Source organism: Homo sapiens, chromosome 10, assembly GCF_000001405.40.
Source record: "Homo sapiens chromosome 10, GRCh38.p14 Primary Assembly".
Lineage (NCBI taxonomy): Eukaryota > Metazoa > Chordata > Mammalia > Primates > Hominidae > Homo > Homo sapiens.
In genome coordinates, this window is record NC_000010.11 from 6,220,450 (window position 1) to 6,236,001 (window position 15,552).

General features: G+C 55.5%; 1 protein-coding gene across 19 annotated transcripts in view, besides 1 other annotated feature; it reads left to right on the forward strand.

Annotated features, from left to right (window-relative positions):
• PFKFB3 (6-phosphofructo-2-kinase/fructose-2,6-biphosphatase 3) overlaps positions 1–15,552 on the forward strand; it is a 181,717-nt gene that overhangs the window by 75,529 nt on the left and 90,636 nt on the right. For 7 of the 19 annotated variants that reach the window (NM_001145443.3, XM_047425343.1, NM_001282630.3 and 4 more), the window contains 8 exons: positions 209–416; positions 932–1,078; positions 1,192–1,296; positions 2,406–2,535; positions 3,509–3,571; positions 3,700–3,764; positions 5,743–5,916; positions 12,446–15,083. In NM_001145443.3, the coding sequence (NP_001138915.1) occupies positions 209–416; positions 932–1,078; positions 1,192–1,296; positions 2,406–2,535; positions 3,509–3,571; positions 3,700–3,764; positions 5,743–5,916; positions 12,446–12,493 (940 nt within the window). In that variant the 3' untranslated portion in view covers positions 12,494–15,083. Of the gene's footprint in view, positions 1–208; positions 417–931; positions 1,079–1,191; positions 1,297–2,405; positions 2,536–3,508; positions 3,572–3,699; positions 3,765–5,742; positions 5,917–7,746; positions 7,770–12,445; positions 15,084–15,552 lie in introns of those variants that run through there. The other 12 variants (XM_047425346.1, XM_047425342.1, XM_047425345.1 and 9 more) reach the window with 7 other exon arrangements.
• Positions 5,019–5,188: an enhancer, noted in NCBI's record as "experimental_13537 CRE fragment used in MPRA reporter constructs". NCBI's record gives its function as "activates a minimal promoter by MPRAs in K562 erythroleukemia cells, with activity observed for the non-introgressed 10:6267516 variant allele {active_cell/tissue: K562}" and the evidence as "EXISTENCE:reporter gene assay evidence [ECO:0000049][PMID:34662402]".

Sequence of the window (15,552 nt, forward strand, 5' to 3'; positions counted from 1 at the left end):
GAGGCAGGCCAGCCTCACAGCCAGACACCAGCTGTGGGAGTTGTCTTACGCATATGCTCTGCCCCTTAGAAGGATTCAGTCTGTGCCCTGGAGGGGCCTACGGTCCCGCCTTGCTGTTCTCTGGGGATCACATCTTCGGAGACGGGCCAGGTGCATCCTGCTGTGGGTGGTGGCCTGAGCTGTGGTTCTCGGTGGGGTCTCTCTGCAGGGACTTGTCGCTGATCAAGGTGATTGACGTGGGCCGGAGGTTCCTGGTGAACCGGGTGCAGGACCACATCCAGAGCCGCATCGTGTACTACCTGATGAACATCCACGTGCAGCCGCGTACCATCTACCTGTGCCGGCACGGCGAGAACGAGCACAACCTCCAGGGCCGCATCGGGGGCGACTCAGGCCTGTCCAGCCGGGGCAAGAAGGTGCGGGGTGTGCTGCCGCATGGGCCGTTCTGGCTGTAGGGCGGTTGCAGGGTCTATAGGGTGGGTGGGGAGCTGTGTGCTGCTGCTGCTGCTGCTGCTGCTGCTTGGTGTGCTTGCTGTGTGTGTTATCTGTGTGTGCGCCTGCACGTCTCTATGCATATCTGTGTGCATCTCTGTATGGCTCTGTGTGTGTGTGTGTCTACGCCTATCCATGTGGCTTTGTGTGTGTGTGTCTTTGTGTTACTTTGTATGTGTTTGTATGTGTGTCTCTGGTGTGTGTATCTCTGTGCATGTGTGTGATGTGTGCGCGGTTGTGCACTAGGAAGGGAAGGGGCAGGAAGAGCTGAGCCTGGTCTCTGGGTAGGGTGTGTGCGGCTGTGGCTGTCCCAGTGGCCTGGGGCCCCCACGGTGTAACCAGGTAGTGCACAGCCCTACGTGGGCTGCCTGCTCCAGCCCTGGCTCTTGGAGGAGCTGCGGGCATCTGGAATCAGTGGTCCCCCTCCACCACCTCTCAGTTTGCCAGTGCTCTGAGCAAGTTCGTGGAGGAGCAGAACCTGAAGGACCTGCGCGTGTGGACCAGCCAGCTGAAGAGCACCATCCAGACGGCCGAGGCGCTGCGGCTGCCCTACGAGCAGTGGAAGGCGCTCAATGAGATCGACGCGGTGAGTCCTGGGAGGCGGGCAGGCAGCCTCACCCTCGGGCATGGGGCGGCTTCCCAAGAGGCCCTAGACACCCCTGTGGTTTGTTCCCCTGAGTGACCACTGGGTCCCCGCAGGGCGTCTGTGAGGAGCTGACCTACGAGGAGATCAGGGACACCTACCCTGAGGAGTATGCGCTGCGGGAGCAGGACAAGTACTATTACCGCTACCCCACCGGGGAGGTGAGCGCAGGCTGGGGCGGGCTGACGGTCCCCAGCACACATGACCACTGCTGTGCAGGGCTGGGCCACCCCTCCAGGGAGTTCACTTCCGTGTGGGTTCTGGGGGCTCCTACACCCTCCACCTTGGAACTGAGTCCCCCCAAACTGAACCTTCTAACAGCCTGGGGTGAAGTGCATTTTCCCATAAGCAGAAGTGAGATGTGTTTCCCTAGGGACATAGAACTATATGGGAGAGGAGGAAGGTGGTGTGTGAAGGTCCACTGGGCAGGGTGGTGGGCAGGCTGGCAGGAGGGGTGGCTCTATATCCCCTGGGCAGCGTCTGTGCTTCCCCGTGCACGGTGCCCGGGTGGCTGTGGCTGAGGACGCTGTTGCCTCCTCTGCCGATGGGATCCTCCTGGGCCTGGTGTGTCCTCCCTGCCCGTGCCCTGCTGAGCAGTGTCGTGCCTCAGGCCCCTGCAGGCCCACTGTCCTCTGGCCTCAGACTAAGCCTTACACACCGGGGCCCTGGTTAGCACAGCAGAGAGCCCACAGGAGCAGGAGCTTTTCTGGTCTTTTTCTAAAGTCACAGCCCTCCTGCTTCTTTTTACATTTTTAAATTGATAGAAAATACACATAACCTAAAATTGACCACTTTCATCACGTTAAAGTTATGATTTAGTGCATGTTAGTGTACTCACAGTGCTGTGCAGCCATCACCACAAATTCCAGGCCTTTCCCTCACTGCACAAAGAAACCCAGACCTGTTAGGAGCCGCTCCCGCCTGCCCGGCCCAGCCCCGGCACCGGCCCGTCTGCTTCCTGCATCTGGATCTGCCTATTCTGGGCATTCCATGTCAGTGGAGTCAGATGCCACACGTGCCTTTTGCGCCCAGTTCTTTCACACAGCATTGAGTTTTCCAGGTTCCCCCGTGTGGGAGCGGAGTGGGGAGGGCTTCACTCTTTTTGTGGCTGAGCAATAGTCCACGTTAAACCCTGCTCCTTCTCAACCACTGCTGATGATGGATGATTGATTTTGCGTGGCTCTCTGGCCGGTCTGATGCAGTCTGTGGCCAGCGGCAGAGCCCCTCCCGAGTGCCCTGAGCTCACGTGGGCCCGGCCCTCTGTGCTCAGTCCTACCAGGACCTGGTCCAGCGCTTGGAGCCAGTGATCATGGAGCTGGAGCGGCAGGAGAATGTGCTGGTCATCTGCCACCAGGCCGTCCTGCGCTGCCTGCTTGCCTACTTCCTGGATAAGAGTGCAGGTACCTCGGGCAGGTCGTGGCCCCGGGATGGAGGGAGGAGGGGACTGGCACTCGGCGGGGGGTCAGCCGCAGACCTGCCGTGGCCTGCCCTGTGTTGGCTGCTGTGCCATGGGGTGTTAGGAGAAGGGCACAGGTGTCGGCTCCCGGCTGCTTCAGGTCCTCTCTGTCCAGCGCTTCCTTGAAGCCCTTGGGAAATGCTGTGGAGCCCAGGTTGATGCCGGGGACTTCATTGCTTCATAAACAGCTCCCTGAGACCCGCCCCTGGCTCCACACATCCCAGGGTCTTGGCTTGGGGTGGGGGCTGCACTTCTCTTCAGTGCCCTCTAAGGAACAAACAGCCCGGAAAACTCTGACAATCCCATTGAAATGTTAAGTCTTAGCATGTCCAGTCCAGTGCAGCTGAATCCCTAGACAGACCTAAATTGTTTGGGAGTGACTTTTTCCCAACTCTAAGTCACCGTGAGGGCGAGTCTTTTGGTTTGGTTTGATGGCACTCTTTGGGCTAAAGTCTTCTTCTGGGGCCAGCTGCTGCCCGGGACAGCTTGTGGCTGGGGACAGATGCCCCTGCCCGACAGGGCTTCCGAGGGTCCTTGTTGGGGGGACCGTAAAGGTCTTTCCATGCCTCCCCCACCCTCATGTCTCATTTCTTTTTTTTGAGACAAAGTTTTGCTCTTCTTGCGCAGGCTGCAGTGCAATGCATGCACTCACTGCAACCTCCACCTCCCAGGTTCAAGCGATTCTCCTGCCTCAGCCTCCTGAGTAGCTGGGATTATACGCATGTGCTACCACACCCTGGCTAATTTTGTATTTTTAGTAGAGATGGGGTTTTGCCATGTTGGTCAGGCTGGTCTTGAACTCCTGACCTCAGGTGATCCACCTGCCTCGGCCTCCCAAAGTGCTGGGATTACAGGCGTGAGCCACCACGCCTGGCCGTGTCTCATTTCTAACTGTGGGTGTACAATTTCAATTTCAGAGGAGATGCCCTACCTGAAATGCCCTCTTCACACCGTCCTGAAACTGACGCCTGTCGCTTATGGTGAGTAGCAACCCCTGCCAAGCCCTGTCCCCCTGAAGGTGGCCACAGTAGCTTCTTGTGGCCGTGGGCTGTAAGCGGTGCTGTCCCTTTAACAGCAGCTTCCTCTGCCCCCATCCCACGCCCTCCAGGCTGCCGTGTGGAATCCATCTACCTGAACGTGGAGTCCGTCTGCACACACCGGGAGAGGTCAGAGGTGAGTGGAGGCCCCAAGCCTCATCCTGGCCATCATCACACGATAGCCCTAGTGGGTGATGGGCGCTCAGGAGGCCCCGGGGCCGCTTGCCTGCAGGTGCTGGCCTGTCTGGGGCCATGGGCCTGCTGGCTGCCTTCCTCAGCACCTCTTTGTTCCTGCCTGTCTGTTCTGTGGCTTCTGGGGCCTTCTCATTTTCTTTCTTCCTGTGTCCTCTTCCTCCCATTTCTGCTGAGCTCGAGATATGAATATTAGTGAGGAAGATACATTCTCTCTTTTTTTTTATTTGAGACAGGGTCTCAGTCTGTTCCCCAGGCTGGAGTGCGGTGGCGCAGTCACGGCTCACTGCAGCCTCAACCTCCTGGGTTCAAGTGATCCTCCCGCCTCAGCCTCCCGCGTAGCTGAGACTACAGGTGCGCACCACCATGCCCAGCTAATTTTAATTTATTCATTTTTTTAGATAATGGGGTCTCACTGTGTTGCCCAGGCTGGTCTTGAACTCCTGGGCTCAAGTGATCCTCCTGCCTTAGTCTCCCAAAGTGCTAGGATAAAGGTGTGAGCCGTTGTGCCCAGCGTCTCTTCTCTTTAACATCAGCATGGCACAGTTCTTGTTGCCTTTCCTTTCTGGCAGCTAAAACCAGTGCTTTCAGTTTCCAGAGTTACTGTTTCAAACAGGATCAGCAGGTCAGCGCCGCCATGTGCTTGTGATTAGGCTCAGAACCACCAAGAACACGGTGTTGAGAGACGGGAGGCGTGGAGAGCAGAGGCCTGGGGGGTGGCGGGTGGGGAGGCGCTTCAGGAGACCTCGAGGCCTGGCCGTGCAGCTGCTGTCTACCTTGGGGGGAGGCCTGACATTTGGAGGTGGGCCAGGCTGCCTCTGACTGAGTAGAGTGGGCCTCTGCTCAGGTGGACGCGTGTTGTGAAAGTGAGTTTGAATTCACCGTGTACAGGCTGCCAAAAGTACAACACTGTGCTAGTACTAGTCAGACCTTTCTCTTAGACCGAGCGTGACTTTCTGTCATGGCGTTCCCGAAACAGGTGACTGTCTAGTCCCAGGAAGCTTGGCCTTCGGATTTTGGCATGAAGGGATGAGGTGTCCGCCCCAGTCGCTGGCAGTTGCCTGGCTGGTGGGCTGACCTGAGAGAGGCTGGGGTCCCTTGGCCGCCTTGGTCCCTGTCACCCCCTCCACTTCGGAATGTGGGTCACCGGATGCTGTCCTGCCTTTAGCCATATGACAACAGCCCTGGTCAGGGAGCCACTGCCCCCGCTATGGGATTGGGCCTGAGCCGGTCCTGGAGCTCTTCCCTGCAGGGAATGGGGGCAGGGCCATGATGGAGACAGATCCCGGTTCTGAGGCTGGAGGCCCACACCCCATCACGCTGTCCCTCTCATGGGAGGGCTGTGTCTGGTCCTGGCCGCAGAACCTGCTTCCTGCTGCACATTTTCTGCGCCTTTGGTCTCCAGGCTTGTTTTGCAGCCTCCGTGCCCCATCCTAAGCCAGGGTGCCCTTTGTGTAGTAGAGATGGCTCTTCAGATCCTGCCTCGGGTCAGCGGAAGGGAGTCAGCACAGTTGCCTTCCCCTCCCCAGCCTGTGAGCCTCAGGCCCAGCCTCTCCCTCCTAGATGCCCCTCCTCAGCTCTCAAGAGAGGCTGGAAGCAAAGCTCTTTTCTCCGACCTCACGCTCTGCTGTGATCATCATTCTTTCCCTCCTTGCTTTGCAAGCACCGTGTTTGTCTGTGTGGGGAATCCTTTGGTACCATCCGAGGAAGGGGGCATGGGAGGGAATTGCCCCCATTCTTGCTGCCTGGCAGTCACCGCACACTCAGCAGCCCATGGTCCCTGGCCCGTGGTCCCGGCCACTCCCCTCGGTCAGTCTTTTTGCCTCTCTAAAATCCAGGAGCAGAGAAACTTTTTTGGGGCTAATTTTCCTCCCCTTCTTTGTAACTGTCGCCTTTCTCTCTTTTGTCTTTGTCTTGCTTAGGATGCAAAGAAGGGACCTAACCCGCTCATGAGACGCAATAGTGTCACCCCGCTAGCCAGCCCCGAACCCACCAAAAAGCCTCGCATCAACAGCTTTGAGGAGCATGTGGCCTCCACCTCGGCCGCCCTGCCCAGCTGCCTGCCCCCGGAGGTGCCCACGCAGCTGCCTGGACAAGTCAGTGCACTCCCCTTTCCTTCCTGCCTGGGGGACGCATGCCGGGCGTGATGCCACAGATCTGGGATTGCGTGCGTGTGTGTTTGCAAGAATACGTGCGTGGGTGCGTGTGGGTGCGCGTGCGTATGTTGTAGGTGTCTGTGCACGTGTGTTGTGGGGGCATGTGCACACACTCACGTGTTGAGGGAGAACATAGGAAGCACCCTCCGAAGTTAAGATCCTGGGGGCTTTCCTTGCTGGTGACAACCGTGACTGCGTTCGCCTCCTTTCTGAGGATGGGGTCTTTACAGGGCAGAAGCAGGCAGTGCAGAAGGAAGAGTGAGATGTCCAAGACCCGTTCACGTTCGTGAATGGTTATTTCTAAAACAAAGAAAGTGGCTACTTTCTCACATAAATAACATGGTTATCCCAGCAGGTAGTAAAAAACCTAACAAACAAGGCCAGGCGCGGTGGCTCACGCCTGTAATCCCAGCGCTTTGGGAGGCCGAGGTGGGCGGATCACCTGAGGACAAGAGTTCCAGACCAGCCTGGCCAACATGGCGAAACCCTGTCTTTACTAAAAATACAGAAATTAGCCAGGTGTGGAGGCGGGCGCCTGTAATCCCAGCTTCTCAGGAGGCTGAGGCAGGAGAATTGCTTGAACCCAGGAGGCGGAGGTTGCAGTGAGCCGAGATGGTGCCACTGCACTCCAGCCTGGGTGACAGAGGGAGACTCCGTCTCAAAAAAAAAAAGCAAAAAACCCCAACCCGATTTCACTTATTTCATTAATTTTGAAGGTTACAGGCCTGGAAGATTTTGGTTGTCAGACATTAAGATTTGTTTTCAGAAAACTGTTTGTTTTCAGAAAACTGGTCTTTTCCTTTACAGCCTGGAACCCTTGCAAATATGTGAGATGTAGGAATTTCTGTGCTTAAATTCAGGTACCACCCAAGGGTCTGCCCTACCTCCACCCTCCAGGCCTGCCCCCACAAATCAGCCCAGTGCAGCTTCCGGTCAGGTTTGTTGATGAGCCGGATGCTGGTGCTGGCTCTGAGCATCCTTTTCAGCCTGCCACCTCTTCCCGCCTTTTCCGAGACTTCCTTAGACCTCATGATGTCTGGAATGTGACCTGGGAGATGCTGCAGCCTCCACAGGTCACTTAACCTCTCCAGGCCTCAGTTTTTTCATCCAGGCAATGGGGGAATAATGGCAGTGCAGAAGTCAGATCAGATGAGGGGATTCATGCCCTGCATCAGGCCCAGTGTCGGGCATGTGGTGGGGACGCGTAGACACGGTGAGGTGGCTGTGATTAGCGGAAGCCTGGAGGCCTGGCTTTGGTGGTAGCTCCACACTAACATGAGTGCAGCAATTTAATTGCCCAGGTTCCTTCCCCTCCCAGGCCCTCAGTCTCCTTAGCTTTGCACATGATAGGAGCAGGACTGGGAGAGCTCTCATACATATTCCCTTGCAGGTCTCAGATCTGAGGGTTTTTATGAAAAGCCAGCAGAACTGAAATGGTGTCCCTGTGGCATCCGTTCTGATGGAAATGTGCAGTTGTATTTGGAAGTTCAGAGGCCGCTGCTTTGATGCTTGGGGGGACCAGGCTGGGGAAGGGGGTTGATATCCTGAGCTGCACAGACCTCCGTCGTGGAGGACGCAGTGGCAGGGGCTGCATCCTCCTGTCCGCTTCAGAGCTGCCCCTGGCGTTGGGAGGACAGTCCTTCAGGGTGGCCAGGTTCTTAGGGACGTCTGAAGCTGCTGGCTGGGCCGGCGTGGGGTTTTTCAGGGCTTCGTCCCTGCAGATTGCGCCCTGCCTCCTGACTGACTTCTCTCTCTGCTTCTCCTCCGCAGCCTTTGCTAGGGCAAGCCTGTCTGTAAGTATCTCTCCGATCATCGCTGCTGCTTGCACTGCTTTCTTCCTGCTTGCTCATTTGGCCTCCTGCCTGTTAAAATATTGAGGATGAGAGCAGTTTTGTGATGTGAGGTCTTCCGTGGGGGAAGGAGGAGATGGGCGTAGGAGTAGGGAGGAGAGATTCCTGAATGTTTTTGGAAAAGCGTGCAGGCGGTCATGGTGGCTGCACTACTGTTGGGTGTGTTCCGACACCGCCGCACGACCGCTGGCTTCTCCCCTACCCTCTCAGGGCTGCAGGTCGTGGTGTGTAATGGCCGTGGTTTAGGGCTCGGCATAAATCCACATTTCCTTATCAGAATCAGATCTTGGTGGCGAGCTGCATCTGTGCCAGGTGCCATTAGCCTTAAAGCCCCCTCCTGCCCCAGGAGTGTCCTTTGTTTTGGAAGGAAAACTTACTCAGAGCCTAATCTGTAAACCAAACCTATGGGGAATAGTGGGAGTGTGGTGGGGCCTGAGCTCTGAGCCTCTCCCTCCCCATGAGGACCCCCCACACCCCAAAAGAGCTCCGAGTGGAGACCCTTGGGGATCCGTTTGTCCTGGGTTGGAGCCTGCTCAGCGTCATAGTCACGCCCGGGGCTGGGTGCAGCCTCCATCTCTAACCCATGTGGTCACTTCTGCTCCTCCCAGAGCTCTCTGCAGAGTTTCAGGTTCAGCCTTAGCTCTGGCAGCCACTGGGTAGCTGGGGCTGTGTTCCCACTGCTCTGGGATCCCTTCCCCACCAGGAGCAGAGGCCTTCCTGCCACAGAACTTTAATGACAGCCACATGAAGTGTCATCCCCTTGCCCCCCCAAAAACACACCCGCCCCTTTATTTCCTGTTTGCTCCTTAAGTTACCTTAACTACTTTATGCAGAAACTGGAAAGGTGTGATGAGGAATGCAGCCTGAGATGCTGAAAAGAATGACTGGCTTTGGAAATGGGAGAGGTTTGGCATGGCGCTCAGATTTTGGTGGCAAAGGGGTGAAGGGCCAGAGGATGTACCAGTGTCCTCCATGTCCACGTTCCTTAAGACCACCCTGGGAGGTCGGCAGGGCAGTCAGTCCCCCGTTTAATGGTTGAGGGGCTGAGTGACCGGCCCGTGCTTCCAGCAGGTGAGCCGCAGAGCCGGGGCCTGAAAGGCCCCTTGCTTCAGAAAGCCGGCCGCCTCCTCTCTGCGGCTTCTGGGAGTGGGCTGGGTGCCCGTTCCCTGCTGCTGTCCTGAGGCCCCTGCCCTGTGACCCGCAAGGCATGGGCAGCTGTTGGACCCTCGTGTACCCCCACAGCCACCCCCTTGCAGCTGCTTCCCACAGCCAGGCTTTGCTTACCTAAGGTGGGCCTGCCCTTAACTTCCAGCTTCTTGGGGCGCACCCTCCATCCTCAGGGCCAGTGTCTGTGATGCGCGGGGCCAGCGTGCAGTGCTTCAGGATCTGGGCTTCTCCTTGTGTGAAACTTTTTGGACTTGGAGCCTGAAGGTTTTACATCTGTGCATGTCCTGATCCTTTAGACCAGCAGTCCCCGACCTTTTTGGTACCAGGGACCCGTTTCGTGGAAGAGAATTTTCCCCACCATGGCAGGGTAGGGGATGGTTTGGGGATAAAACTGTTCTGCCTCAGATCGTCTGGCATTAGATTCTCTGAAGGGAACGCACAGCCTAGATCCCTCGTGTGTGCTCCTCCGAGTCAGGTGGTAATGTTGGCCCACCCACCACCCACCTCCTGCTGTGTGGCCCGCCTCTCAGTGGGCTATGGACTGGGTACTGGTCCACAGCCCAGGGGTTAGGGACCCCTGCGTTAGACACGTGGCCTCATGTTGCCAGGAAAGAAATCTTTCTACTGGGAGGAGCCATTCGGGGATAGTCCCCCACCCGCTAAAGCTGATCTTACCTATCTCCAAGATGAACATAATAGTGCGTTTGCTAGAATCCCTCCTGTTCAGCAAAAATACATCCGATGGACCCATCACACCTGACTCAGGTTGGAATTTCACTCTGGAGTCCCATTGTCCCGTCCATCCTGGGTGCGTGACCCCACATCTAGGATTGTAGCCACATCTGATTCTAGGAGTCCACCTGGGCTCTGTGACCAGAATTTATGATGAAAGTCAGACCAAGCCAGGCCTGCATCTTGGTTCTACTCCTCCTGGCCTCTATCCTTGGCACTCTGGGCAAGTTAAAGCAATTCTAGGACCTCAGCTTCCTCATCTGTAATATGGAGATAATAACTTCATAAAGTTGTCATAATGAGACTATAGATACAGCACTTAGCACAATATCTGGCCCCTAGGAAGTGCGTGGGGGATGACGGCTGCTGTTGTTATCAGGGAGGAACTTGGTGCCCTGGGCCTGTGGAGACTTCTGGGCTTGCTGGCATTGGGTCAGCCTTTGGATACCCTCCTGTAACCTGAGGGATTTCTTCTCTGGGGCAGCAGGAACACCCAGACTTGGGGAGGGGAAATCCCTGGGGTCTCAAGGCCATGGCCTGAAGTCTTTTTTTTTTTTTGAGATGGAATTCTGCTCTTGTTGCCCAGGCTGGAGTGCAGTGGCGCGATCTTGGCTCACTGCAACCTCCTTCTCCCGGGTTCAAGCGATTCTCCTGCCTCAACCTCCCGAGTAGCTGGGATTACAGGCGCCCGCCACCATGCCCGGCTAATGTTTGTATTTTTAGTAGAGATGGGGTTTCACCATGTTGGCCAGGCTCGTCTCAAACTCCTGACCTCAGGTGATCCACCCGCCTTGGCCTCCCAAAGTGCTGGGATTACAGATGTGAGCCACCACGCCCAGCCTAGAGTCTTCACCCCTGTGATCTTGGTTTCCCAGTAAGATGGGGACGAACAACTGTCCGGACCTGGTGCTCTGGGGTGCCTTCCTGGGGGCTGTGCCGGCTGCTTGGGATCGAGAGATCACCTGGCATTTGTGATGCAACCTTCATTTTTAAAATTTCAAATGCACACTAGAAAATCCTACTAAAGATTTTCTTTTTTTTTTTCCTTTTCCAACCTGTTTCTTCCTCTCCCCCACTCTGCTTGAAAGACGAACTGTCTGTCACATTTTCTCAAAGTTTTCTCCTTACTAACTGTGGAAGGTAAATGCCTGGGTGCATGTCCCTCTGTCCCGCACCGCGTCACGGCATCTGGGTCTGTGTGCAGACTGGCCATCGTGCAATGCGGGGCTCATCTGTCTCCATGCCGAGGTTGTTAAGTGCAACACCATTGTCGTGAGGTCCTTTCTAGTCTGTCTCTCACCCCCCACGTGTCCTGAGCTGGGGCCCCTGGGTGAAGGACGTGGACATCACCCGGTCTTGCAGGCTCTCCACTGTTATTGTTGCATCGCCATCACCTGTGGGTGCCGGAAGCTGTGGGCTGGTGGTGTTGAGGACAGGTTGGAGCCAGCAGATGCGGAGGGAAATGTCAGCCCTGCTCTGTGATCCCACAGCCCGGCTGGGGCTCTCCCTAGATATGAGGACCCAGGGCTCTCTGAAGAGAATTGCCCCCTCCCAGTGGGCACCCATCACTTCCATCATCCTTCGGCGGGCACCCATCAACCCCCGCAGGCAGCCGTCATCCCCTGGCAGGCACCTATCACCTCCTGGTGGGCACTCATCACCTCCCGGTGGGCACCCATCACCTCCTGGCGGGCACCCATCACCTCTCGGCGGGCACCCATCACCTCCCGGTGGGCACCCATCACCTGGGTTCCTGAGTCTGGCCCACGCCTGGGCGATAGCTCTGATGCTGCCCAGCCCCGTGACTTTCCTCCCTGTGGATGGCTCCAGCCTTGGACCCCCAGTTCTGTGTGGGGTGGGCATGGGCCACGGTGGCCCTGTGTGCCTGGGCTCTCTCCCACCCTCTTTAGAGCAGTCCAGGTGGAGACACTCAGGACTGGAGAGAATAGTTTTAAACATTGTGTGTTTTCTTGTTTTTTGAGGCGTAGGTGAAGCAGGTCACGGAAGGAGGCCCGCTGTGCAGTGGCTGCAGTCAGTTGTGTTCCTCGCTGATTTTGGAGCATGTTTTTTTGCGGGGGGTGGGTGGCGGGGGGGTTTGGTACTGGCCAGTGCCTTAGGGGTGGAACTCCCTGCGAGGGCCACTGTGATCAGAAGTGGGGCAGGGCTTTAACAACACCCCTCTGCCTGGCTCCCCACCTGGGCCTCCCCACCACGTCCAGCCATTCCATGTATCACCTGTGTTCTGCCTGTCAAGCTCTGTTCCCAGAATCTGGATGCAGGAGCTGGGAGTGTGGCTCTGTTTTGAGCTGAGTCGAGAGGAGGGGCCCTGTGTGTCCTTGGAGGCCCCGGGCTCATCCTCTGCCTGGCTGTGGTTTGTGGGATTTCTATGGGGTCGTGAGCATGAGGCTCCTGTAGTTACTGGTGCCCAGCGCCGCGCAGCTCACGGTCCTCCAGGAGCCACACGGCCCCCACCAGGCGGGCTCCAGGCCTGGTGCCCAGCCCCTTCTCTGAGACTCTGGGGTTATCTTGCGTCATGTTCTGAGGCCCACCTGGGCTCTCTCCCGCCTGTGAGGTTGGCAGCACCTTTCTTGGATCATGTTCTTTGTCTGGGATGGAGGGAGGGAAGAATTCTCCGTTGCATGGCTCGCGTCTTCTGCTTTAGAATTCAGCCAGCTACAAATCCTAACTCCCTCCCCACCTCTCTTTTCTCCTGAAAACAGAACATGAAAGGCTCCCGGAGCAGCGCTGACTCCTCCAGGAAACACTGAGGCAGACGTGTCGGTTCCATTCCATTTCCATTTCTGCAGCTTAGCTTGTGTCCTGCCCTCCGCCCGAGGCAAAACGTATCCTGAGGACTTCTTCCGGAGAGGGTGGGGTGGAGCAGCGGGGGAGCCTTGGCCGAAGAGAACCATGCTTGGCACCGTCTGTGTCCCCTCGGCCGCTGGACACCAGAAAGCCACGTGGGTCCCTGGCGCCCTGCCTTTAGCCGTGGGGCCCCCACCTCCACTCTCTGGGTTTCCTAGGAATGTCCAGCCTCGGAGACCTTCACAAAGCCTTGGGAGGGTGATGAGTGCTGGTCCTGACAGGAGGCCGCTGGGGACACTGTGCTGTTTTGTTTCGTTTCTGTGATCTCCCGGCACGTTTGGAGCTGGGAAGACCACACTGGTGGCAGAATCCTAAAATTAAAGGAGGCAGGCTCCTAGTTGCTGAAAGTTAAGGAATGTGTAAAACCTCCACGTGACTGTTTGGTGCATCTTGACCTGGGAAGACGCCTCATGGGAACGAACTTGGACAGGTGTTGGGTTGAGGCCTCTTCTGCAGGAAGTCCCTGAGCTGAGACGCAAGTTGGCTGGGTGGTCCGCACCCTGGCTCTCCTGCAGGTCCACACACCTTCCAGGCCTGTGGCCTGCCTCCAAAGATGTGCAAGGGCAGGCTGGCTGCACGGGGAGAGGGAAGTATTTTGCCGAAATATGAGAACTGGGGCCTCCTGCTCCCAGGGAGCTCCAGGGCCCCTCTCTCCTCCCACCTGGACTTGGGGGGAACTGAGAAACACTTTCCTGGAGCTGCTGGCTTTTGCACTTTTTTGATGGCAGAAGTGTGACCTGAGAGTCCCACCTTCTCTTCAGGAACGTAGATGTTGGGGTGTCTTGCCCTGGGGGGCTTGGAACCTCTGAAGGTGGGGAGCGGAACACCTGGCATCCTTCCCCAGCACTTGCATTACCGTCCCTGCTCTTCCCAGGTGGGGACAGTGGCCCAAGCAAGGCCTCACTCGCAGCCACTTCTTCAAGAGCTGCCTGCACACTGTCTTGGAGCATCTGCCTTGTGCCTGGCACTCTGCCGGTGCCTTGGGAAGGTCGGAAGAGTGGACTTTGTCCTGGCCTTCCCTTCATGGCGTCTATGACACTTTTGTGGTGATGGAAAGCATGGGACCTGTCGTCTCAGCCTGTTGGTTTCTCCTCATTGCCTCAAACCCTGGGGTAGGTGGGACGGGGGGTCTCGTGCCCAGATGAAACCATTTGGAAACTCGGCAGCAGAGTTTGTCCAAATGACCCTTTTCAGGATGTCTCAAAGCTTGTGCCAAAGGTCACTTTTCTTTCCTGCCTTCTGCTGTGAGCCCTGAGATCCTCCTCCCAGCTCAAGGGACAGGTCCTGGGTGAGGGTGGGAGATTTAGACACCTGAAACTGGGCGTGGAGAGAAGAGCCGTTGCTGTTTGTTTTTTGGGAAGAGCTTTTAAAGAATGCATGTTTTTTTCCTGGTTGGAATTGAGTAGGAACTGAGGCTGTGCTTCAGGTATGGTACAATCAAGTGGGGGATTTTCATGCTGAACCATTCAAGCCCTCCCCGCCCGTTGCACCCACTTTGGCTGGCGTCTGCTGGAGAGGATGTCTCTGTCCGCATTCCCGTGCAGCTCCAGGCTCGCGCAGTTTTCTCTCTCTCCCTGGATGTTGAGTCTCATCAGAATATGTGGGTAGGGGGTGGACGTGCACGGGTGCATGATTGTGCTTAACTTGGTTGTATTTTTCGATTTGACATGGAAGGCCTGTTGCTTTGCTCTTGAGAATAGTTTCTCGTGTCCCCCTCGCAGGCCTCATTCTTTGAACATCGACTCTGAAGTTTGATACAGATAGGGGCTTGATAGCTGTGGTCCCCTCTCCCCTCTGACTACCTAAAATCAATACCTAAATACAGAAGCCTTGGTCTAACACGGGACTTTTAGTTTGCGAAGGGCCTAGATAGGGAGAGAGGTAACATGAATCTGGACAGGGAGGGAGATACTATAGAAAGGAGAACACTGCCTACTTTGCAAGCCAGTGACCTGCCTTTTGAGGGGACATTGGACGGGGGCCGGGGGCGGGGGTTGGGTTTGAGCTACAGTCATGAACTTTTGGCGTCTACTGATTCCTCCAACTCTCCACCCCACAAAATAACGGGGACCAATATTTTTAACTTTGCCTATTTGTTTTTGGGTGAGTTTCCCCCCTCCTTATTCTGTCCTGAGACCACGGGCAAAGCTCTTCATTTTGAGAGAGAAGAAAAACTGTTTGGAACCACACCAATGATATTTTTCTTTGTAATACTTGAAATTTATTTTTTTATTATTTTGATAGCAGATGTGCTATTTATTTATTTAATATGTATAAGGAGCCTAAACAATAGAAAGCTGTAGAGATTGGGTTTCATTGTTAATTGGTTTGGGAGCCTCCTATGTGTGACTTATGACTTCTCTGTGTTCTGTGTATTTGTCTGAATTAATGACCTGGGATATAAAGCTATGCTAGCTTTCAAACAGGAGATGCCTTTCAGAAATTTGTATATTTTGCAGTTGCCAGACCAATAAAATACCTGGTTGAAATACATGGACGAAGTAAACCTCTGGTCTTTTCGTGGGGGAAAGAAGAGTCTTTAATTGATGTTTACGGCAGATGCGCCACGGAGCTGCCAACTCACCACTTCATTATCTTCCTTTCAACAGGATGTTCAAGTACAGAGTGTCTAGTGCCTGCATTTGGGGAGAATGAGCTGTCTCAATTTTTCTTCTAATTGATAGGCTTCATGTTTTATTTTTATTTTTAATTTAATTTTTTTCTTTTTTTTCTTTTTTTTTTTTTGAGACTGTTTCTCACTCTGTCGCCCAGGCTGGAGTGCAGTGGCGCGATCTCAGCTCACTGCAACCTCCTCCTACCAGGTTCAAGCAATTCTCGTGCCTTAGCCTCCCTAGTAGCTGGGATTACAGGTGTGCACCACCATGCCCAGCTAATTTTTGTATTTTTATTAGAGACAGCATTTCACCATGTTGGCCAGGCTGATCTTGAACTCCTGGCCTCA